Source organism: Homo sapiens, chromosome 9 (genome assembly GCF_000001405.40).
Source record: "Homo sapiens chromosome 9, GRCh38.p14 Primary Assembly".
NCBI lineage: Eukaryota > Metazoa > Chordata > Mammalia > Primates > Hominidae > Homo > Homo sapiens.
Window position 1 is genome coordinate 15,347,101 of NC_000009.12, and position 9,704 is coordinate 15,356,804.

General features: G+C 44.0%; 1 annotated feature.

Annotated features, from left to right (window-relative positions):
* Nucleotides 7,783–8,624: an enhancer, noted in NCBI's record as "OCT4-NANOG-H3K27ac hESC enhancer chr9:15354881-15355722 (GRCh37/hg19 assembly coordinates)". NCBI's record gives its function as "activates a minimal SCP1, AML or CMV promoter by ChIP-STARR-seq in naive H9 embryonic stem cells {active_cell/tissue: H9 hESC(naive)}" and the evidence as "EXISTENCE:reporter gene assay evidence [ECO:0000049][PMID:30033119]".

Genomic DNA, 9,704 nt, shown 5'->3' on the forward strand with positions numbered 1-9,704 from the left:
GAGTGGTGAGAAACAAACCAAGTGAACCCAGAACTGCCCAAGCTTATTGCCTGGAGAGATTTACCAGGCTGCAGTTTAGGGTGAGGGAAACTAGATGAAGCCCAGCCCAGCTGAATTGAGATGGTGGAAGTTCAGGGAGGCCAAGGCAGCTAGAGTTCACAGGGCACAGTACTGGAGAGGAGAGAGTTGCAGAGACAGATAAATCTGGAGATCTGTGAAAGATCCCTCTCCAGTCCTCAGCTAATTATTTATCAGCACATGAGTGATTAGAGGGAACAGTCCTGGGAGATCACACAGATCTGGTATGTGAATAATTCATCTGCCCAACAGACAGACCAACTCACCGGACATTAAGTGGAGTACTCAGAAGAGTATTCTCTCAGTAGCGGGGCAAAATTAGCCCTTGACCAAATCCTGTTCCAGTCCACTTAGCAAAGCTTAAAAGCAAGATCCAGAAGGATACAGACATTTCCAAGTAACTAACAGTGTCCCAGAACAAAGCTAGAGAATAATTAAAAGAATATTAAAATATACAGCACTCAACAGGATAAAATTCACAATTTCTGGCATTTTATCAAAAAGTACCAGGCATGCAAAGAAGGAGGAAAACATGATTGTGATGGTTAATTCATGTGTCAACTTGATTGGCCACAGGGTGCCCCAATATTTGCTTAAACATTACTCTGAATGTGTCTGTGAGAGTGTTTCCGGATAAATATCAACAATTGAATCTGTAACCTGAGTAAAGAAGATTGATCTCCCCAGTGTGAGTGGGCCTCACCCAATTCAGTGAAGGCCTGAATAGACAACATAGTTGAGTGACGGAGAATTTGCTCTCATGACACGACTGTCATCAAGCAAGAACATCAGTCTTCCCTTGCCTTTGGGCCCAGACTAGAACTGGAATTTACATCCACCTCTCCTGATTCTCAGGCCTTCAGACTTGGGCTAGAACAATATCGTTGGCTCTCCTGAGTCTCCAGCTTGCCAACTGCAGATCTTGGGACTCTTCTCTGCCTCTCTAAGTGTGTGGGCCAATTCCATAAAGAAATAAATCTCCTGTTTTAGCCGGGTGTGGTGGCACGCACCTGTAATCCCAGCTGCTCAGGAGGCTGAGGGAGGAGAATCGCTTGAACCTGGTAGACGGAGGTTGCAGTGAGCCGAGACCGTGCCATGGCACTCTAGCCTAGGCGACAGAGCGAGACTCCGTCTCAATAAATAAATAAATAAATATCCTGTTGATTCATTCTTTTTCTTTTGAGATGGAGTCTCACTCTGTCGCCTAGGCTGGAATGCAGTGGCATGATCTCGGCTCGTTGCAACCTCCGCTTCCCTGGTTCAAGTGATTCTCCTGCTTCAGCCTCCTGAGTAGCCGGAATTACAGGCCCACGCCACCACACCTGGCTAATTCTTGTATTTTTAGTAGAGATGGGGTTTGCCATGTTGGCCAAGCTGGTCTCCAACTCCTGACCTCAAGTGATCCACCCGCCTCAGCCTCCCAAAGTGCTGGGATTACAGGCGTGAGCCACCACTCCTGGCCTCCTGTTGATTCTTTCTCAGCAGTACCCTGATTAATAATAAAAAAGTTAAATGTATTATTATCACTTCTATTTTATGTAAAGAAGAAATTGAGGCCACTAGAGATGTAACTGGTCCCAAATCAGACAGCTAATACATGGTGAAGGGAGGACTTGAACCCTGATTTTGGGTTTCTACATTCTGTGTCCCGCCCACACTCACTGTCATCCCTGGTTGAGTGTGATTGTGCAGCTCTCATGCTCTGGCCCTCCCTTTTTTTGGCACTGCATTATACGTTGCATCTATTGCAACTTCATATTGTAGTTTCATGGAATTATTATTATTGTCATTATTTTTAGAGACGGGGTCTTGCTGTGTTGCCTGTGCTGGAATGCAGTGGCTATTCATAGGCACAATCATAGCACGCTGCAGCCTCGAACTCCTGGCCTCAAGTGATCCTCCTGCCTCAGCTTCCCAAGTAGCTTGGACTACAGGTGTGCACCACAGTGCCCAGCTTTCATAGCGTTATTCTTAAATCCCCACCTGGCCTGCAAAGCTGAGAAGAAAGTACATGACTTCCGGAGTTAGACAGCCTTAGGTTTTAATCCTAGCTCCCTCGCCACTTGCTCATTTTAAGACCTTGGGCAATAACAAGAATCTCCAGTGTTTATTGAATGCTTAGTATGTTCAGTGATGCTAAGAGCTTAATATGTATTAATTTCCTCTAACCTACACAACAACTCAAGGAGGTAAAAACAATTAATATTCCCATTTTGTGGAAGAGGAAATTAAGAGAATCCATTTTCTCTCTCTCTTTTTTTTTTTTTTTTTTTTGAGATGGAGTTTTGCTCTTGTCACCCAGCCTGGAGTGCAATGGCACAATCTCAGCTCACTGCAACCTCTGCCTCCGGGGTTCAAGCGATTCTCCTGCCTCAGCCTCCCAAGTAGCTGGGATTACAGGCACGGGCTACCACGCCTGCTAATTTTTGTATTTTCAGTAGAGACAGGATTTCACCATGTTGGCCAAGCTGGTCTCCAACTCCTGACCTCAGGTGATCCATCCACCTTGGCCTCCCAAAGTGTTGGGATTACAGGCAGGAGCCACCACACCTGGCCGAGAATCCATTTTTTGTGTGACAACAGTCACATCTAATTTACTAGGCTATCATGAGGATTACATGAGATAACACATAGAAAGTGTCTAGAGGGTAAGAGTGGCTTTGCAACTCTTCCTCCCCTCCCTGTCACCTCCTCCACTGAGGGCAAGGACCACATCTCTGCTGCCTCTGCTTTCCCTAGTAAAGGGCAGGGGTGAGCAAGTAACAGGGGCACCAGAAATGTTATCAATGATCAATTTGAAGATTGGAACTCCCCTCGCATTTGACCTTAATTCCTCTTTCACCAAAAACACCAAACATATAGATGTCATTTGCTCTGCCTGCCACTATCCACCCAACAAATACAGCTCATGGAGCAGCTAAACTTTGCTGGTAATAACAACCACTTGATATGTTCCACCATCATGTTCTGAAACCAACTGACTAAGGAAAACATACCTGGACTGAATAATGACCACCTGCACGTTGGGTGTAACTCAGCACTTTGCTGACTGTTGTATGCCACTTTGGCTACACAAAGAATCACCCAGGATCTCTCTGAAAATACTGACGCCTGGCTCCACGCCAGAAATCATGATTCATTCAATCTGAAGTGATGCCCAGGCATTAAAAATGCTTAAGTTCTAGAGATGACTCTAATGTGTCACCAGGATTACAAATAGTTGATTTACCTATATACATGAAAGGGAAATTAATTTTAGCCATTCTAATTATTATTTAGGATGGCAAATCTGTCTCTTTGCATGTGTTATTCAGACTATAACCAAATATTATAGCATGGTGCAGTAACCATACAAGGAAACTAAAAAAAAAAATTATGGTATAGACTGAGATCAGCAAATACATGGCTGCCCCTCCCTGTGTCCACAATTGCAACACTCATCTGAGTCCTGGTCTTGCATCCTTTCCCAAGAGAGCATCTTGGTGGTCACACGAGATGGAGCTTAATCTTGCACAAGGTATACACACACTTAAAAAGCTATTACGGCCAGGCACAGTGGCTCGCACCTGTAATCCCAGCACTTTGGGAGGCTGAGGCGGGCGGATCACCTGAGGTCAGGAGTTCGAGACCAGCCTGGTCAACATGGCGAAACCCCGTCTCTACTAAAAATACAAAAATTAGCTGGGCATGGTGGCGCATGCCTGTAATCCCAGCTACTGGGGAGGCTGAGGCAGGAGAATCGTTTGAAACTGGGAGGTGGAGGCTACAGTGAGCTGACATTGCTCCATTGCACTCCAGCTTGGGCAACGAGAGTGAAACTCCATCTCAAATAAATAAATAAATAAATAAATAAATAAAAAGCTATTACCAGACAGTATTTACTGTATTTATTCAATAAATATTGATCAAGAACCTACTATATGCCAGGACCTGCGTTAGCTACCAGCAATACGAAGATGGATAACATGTGGTTCCTGGCCTCAAAGAACTCAGTCTGTTGGAGGAGAGAGGATGTGGTAAGTGCTTTGTAGAATATGTACACAATGCTGTTAAAACAAAGAGAACAAATCAACTATTCATGCCTGGGAGAATCAGGAAAGATGACAAGAATTGTCAACTGTGTTGGATCATAAGGGATTGAGTAGGAATTCACAAGGCCCCATTCAACTGAACCAGTATTCTAGTGAAGGATTAGCATGTATGACTGCAGTAATATGAAATAGCTGCTGTGTTTAGTCTACAAGTGGTGTTAATAGTGTGACTGTGGCCAAAGATGAGCATGAGGGATTGACAGAAAGTCAGGCTGGAAAAAGAAGTATCAGGGACTTTGCATGGCATTTTGGTGTTCAGGTGACAGTTAAGACTGTCCAGTGAAATTTCTGTGATGATGGAAATTAAGGGGGTAGTTCAAGCAAGAAAGAGTATAGGAATTCCAAGAGTGAACCTAAACTCAAAGGGAAGGTCTTGCACTTACATCAAAAGTTTGGGAAATCAACATACTTGCATGTTTTGATCTAGATAAAATTCTTTTTTTGTTTTTTTGTTTGTTTGTTTTTTTGAGACGGAGTCTCGCTCTGTCGCCCAGGCTGGAGTGCAGTGGCTCGATCTCGGCTCACTGCAAGCTCCGCCTCCCGGGTTCACGCCATTCTCCTGCCTCAGCCTCCCGAGTAGCTGGGACTACAGGTGCCTGCCACCATGCCAGGCTAATTTTTTTTGTATTTTTAGTAGAGACGGGGTTTCACCATGTTAGCCAGGATGGTCTCAATCTCCTGACCTCATGATCCGCCTGACTTGGCCTCCCAAAGTGCTGGGATTACAGGCGTGAGCCACTGTGCCCGGCCCTGATATAGATAAAATTCTTAAATTCCACTTGTCTTTTAAAAAATAATTATTCCCAATTCTCACAAAGTTTTTGTCTTCATAGACCAATCACCAATCCATACAGCTTCATTTCAGTGCCACAGCTAAGGATGTGAAGATACTGTTTATGCCACGACGTTTACTCAGCAATACAATTCACCAGTACTTAAAGGAAAGTTGCTACTTCCACCCACCATTAATAACTCACTTTTTTTCTTTATCGTCCCACTTTTTTTATTTACTTTTAAAAAATGTTTTAAATTTTAATATATTTAAGAGATACAAGTACAGATTTCTTACAGGCTTGTACTGCATTATGGTGAAGTCTGGGCTGCTAGTGGACCCATCACCCAAATAGTGAACATTGTCCCCAATAGCTAATCTACAACCCTTACCCCACTTCCACCTAAATAACTCACTTCTGGTCCACTCTTTTCAACCGTGTGTTCACTACTTAGCCTATGTTGGTTTCAAATTTCCCAACCACCAACGTTGATCCTTGTTTCCAGTATTTGTCTTTGCTAGTGCTTTGGCCTCAGTGCTCAATCCTGTTTTTCCAGCTGCAAACTCAACTTTATAGTCAATTTCTCCACCTCGCTGTGTAGTCATAGGAAAACAATCTTCCTACTTTGGATGGGTCTGAGAACCACCTATCTCAGGGCCCCCTTTACCTGTGATCATCCCACCAGGCTGGCTTCAGTTTCTTAAGAAGGTCAGAGAGAGCAAGAAAGGGAATCTAGACCAAAGCCTAGGACACCTGAGAGGAAACACTGAAGGACAGATTTTGGGAGGAAGATAATGAGTTCAGTTTTAGGTGTGTTCTTTTAAAAATGTTTCTGTACCATTCAAGTTGAAGCTACCTTTGCAAAAATTATAACAGTGAGAAAATTATGACAGTGCAAGTGATCTGACCTCACCAATTCCATCTTGCTTCTAACCTCTAAGCTGCCCTTGTTCATTCCTGGGCATAGTAGTGTATTGTTGAACCTTGAAATAAAGATGATAGATAATAACCCTTTCCTGGAACAAATCCTCTTCTTGCCTGGGGATCAGACTGCCTTTGTAATGAGAGAAGAGAGACAGACCCTCTCATATTGTTTTATATTGTTCTATCCTCAGAAAAGGAAAGAGAACCAAAACTAAAGGCGGGTAGCCTGGCGCCTAGGAACCAGACCCAAAACCAAGGAACCAGACCCAAAACCAGGCCTGGGCCTGCCTGACCTAAGCCTGGTAGTTAAAATTCGACCCCTGGCCCAGCAACTGATGTTATCTATAGATTATAGAAAGACACTGTAAAACTTCCCGGTCCGTTCTGTTTCACTCTGATCACCGGTGCATGCAGTCCCTGTCACATACCCCCTGCTTGTTCAACCGATCACGACCCTCTCATGCGGACCCCGTTAGAGTTGTGAGCCCTTAAAAGGGACAGAAATTGTTCACTCGGGGAGCTCGGCTCTTGAGACAGGAGTCCTGCCGATGCTCCCGGCCGAATAAACCTCTTCCTTCTTTAACTCGGTGTCTGAGGATTTTTGCCTGCAGCTTGTCCTGCTACAGTAAGACTAATTAACCACAAGATTAGAAGTTATGGTTTATGGCCGGGCATGGTGGCTCACGCCTGTAATCCCAGCACTTTGGGAGGCCGAGGTGGGTGGATCGCATGGTCAGGAGATGGAGACCAGCCTGACCAATATGGTGAAACCCCGTCTCTACCAAAACTACGAAAATGAGTAGGGCGTGGGGTGGGCGCCTGTAGTCCCAGCTACTCGGGAGGCTGAGGCAGGAGAATCGCTTGAACCTGGAAGATGGAGGTTGCAGTGAGCAGAGATTGCGCCACTGCACTCCAGCCTGGGCGACAGAGCAAGATTTGGTCTCAAAAAAAAAAAAAAAGAAGTTATGGTTTAGAAGTCATGCAGCTAGAGGCCACAAGATTCTGAACTTCCCCAGTTGCTCCTAGGGATAACATCACTATTGTAAAACTTAAGACTAGTGCTTTGAGACCTTTCCTACTGATGCACCAGCTGCAGCCACTCAGACCGGTAATCTAGGTCAACGAGTTCTGCAATCCCATCCAGGAACGGAAGGCAGCAAAAAGAACCCATCTTGATCCCCTATGATTTCATCTCCCACTTGACCAGTCAATACTCCCCCACTCCCTGGCTCCCCTACCTGCCAAATTATCTTTTTTTTTTCTTTTTGAGATGGATTCTGGCTCTCTTGCCCAGGCTGGAGTGCTATGGTGCCATCTCGGCTAACTGCAACCTCTGCCTGCTGAGTCCAAGCGATTCTCCTGCCTCAGCCTCCCAAGTAACTGGGATTACAGACACCCACCACCACACTCAGCTAATTTTTGTATTTTTAGTAGAGACGGGGTTTCACCATGTTGGCCAGGCTGGTCACGAACTCCTGACCTCAGGTGATCCACCCGCCTCAGCCTCCCAAAGTGCTGAGATTACAGGTGTGAGCTGCCACACCCAGCCAAGAGTTTATATTTTATATTTTACATATAAGTTCATGGCTCATTCCATGTTAGTTTTTGTATTGAGTTTTAAGTCAAGTTTCATTGTCTGATCATGACATATCATAAGATACTTGAAGAGATTTATTCTGAGCCAAATATGAGTGACCACGGCCCATGACACAGCCCTCAGGAGGTCCTGAGAACATGGGCCCAAGGTGGTCAAGGTGCAACATGGTTTTATACATTTTAGGGAGGCATGAGACATCAACCAAATACATTTAAGTATTACATTGGTTTGGTCCAGAAAGGCAAGACAACTCAAAGGGGGTGGCGGACAGTGGGGGAGTTCTAGTTAAACATTTTCTGGTTGACAATTGGTCGAGTTTGTCTAAAGACCTGGGATCAATAGAAAGGAAATGTTCAGCTTAAGATAAAAGATTGCGGAGACCAAGGTTCTTTTGAAGTCTCATAGTGGCTGCCTTTAGAGACAACAGATGACAAATGTTTCCTGTTCAGACCTTTAAGTGGTGCTAGACTCTCAGTTAATCTCTTCAGGATTGGGAGGGCCTAGAAGAAAAAGATCTGGCTATGTTAATAGAGATTCTTTACAGATGCAAATTTTCCCCCACAAAGGGCAGCTTTGCAGGGCCATTTCAAAATGTGGCAAAGAAACACGTTTTCAGGTAAAATATTTTGATTTTCTTCTTTGTCACGTAATATTATGCCAAAGTCAGATTGGAAAGTAGTAACAATATATAGGTCTAAACAAAACTCATCTGATGAGAATTTATGGTTTGTAGGGCATGACTCCCCAAACCCCTTAGATAGGGAATTTGGGCAAGATAAGAAAAACAATCTGAGCTTAGTCCTCAGTTTGGATAAGAAAAACAGGACACTTTTGCCATAATAGGAAGAAGCGAAAGATAAGTTTTAGAGATGTTGCTCCTAAGAAGCAAGCATGGTTTCACACCCTTTACTAAATGAATTTAAGGGTTGATGTTTCACTTTTATTAAGAAATGTCCTAAGTTGGCTAAACATACGTTTGACAAGCTAAGTCAAACTCAAATTTCTCCTGACTTGCTTTCAGGTTTACAGGCACAATGAGTACAGGGCTCACACCATTAGTACTCAATAGACATTTAATCTTGCATTTGGGAAGCTCCTGGTTAGTAATTACAGAATGAATGAAAGAATAAATCTGTACAACAAACCCCCAGGACACAAGTTTACCTATGTAACAAATCTGCCCTTGTACCCCTGTAAATCAAAAATAAAATTCTAAGACCCTCCCCTCGCCCCAGCCATCTGAATGCACTACCTCCTCCGCGTGAAAATTTAACCTGAAGGACTGGCTCAGGCCATGGCTGGAAGTGAGGGTCAGACAGGCCTCATTATACCTCCCTGGCATTAACATCAACACAGGCCTTAAGTCTGATAAGAAGCATTTGCAATCTATTCTCTCTGGAGCCTGCTACCTGAAGGCTTCGTCTGCACAATAAAAACTTTGGTCTCCACAATTCCTCATCTTTTTTTTTTTTTCGTTTCGCTCTTTTTGCTGAGGCTGGAGTGTAATGGCGCGATCTCGGCTCACCGCAGCCTCCGCCTCCCAGGCTCAAGCGAATCTCCTGCCTCAGCCTCTTGAGTAGCTAAGATTATAGGCATGCACCACCACGTCCAGCTAATTTTGTATTTTTAGTAGAGACAGGGTTTCTCCATGTTGGTCAGGCTGGTCTCAAACTCCCAAGGTGATCCGCCCACCTCGGCCTCTCAAAGTGCTGGGATTACAGGCGTGAGCCACCGCGCCCAGCCCACAATTCTTTATTTTAACCAGAATATTTCCTTTCTATTGATCCCAGGTCTTTAGATAAACTCAACCAATTGTCAGCCAGAAAAATTTTAAATTTACCTGTAACCAGAAAGCCCCACCCTTCAAGTTGTCTCGCCTTTCTGAACTAAACCAATGTGTTACTTGAATGTATTTGATTGAAGTCTCATGTCTCCCTAAAATGTATAAAACTGGGCAGTACCCCGACCACCTTGGACACATGTTCTCAGGACCTCCTGATGGCTGTGTTATGGGCCATCGTCACTCATATTTGGCTCAGAATAAATCTCTTCAAATATTTTACAGAGTTTGACTCTTTTTGTCAATACCCCCGAACTTAAAATAAACGTTAAAAAAAAAAGAAAAAAAGAAAAGAAAGGATAAATTAATGCAGAAAAAACACCTTTTAACTTGCCCAGGGAATATATGCACTAATGGCAGGAAGTCAAAAGATAAACCTTTCCAAATTAAAAAGATGTACT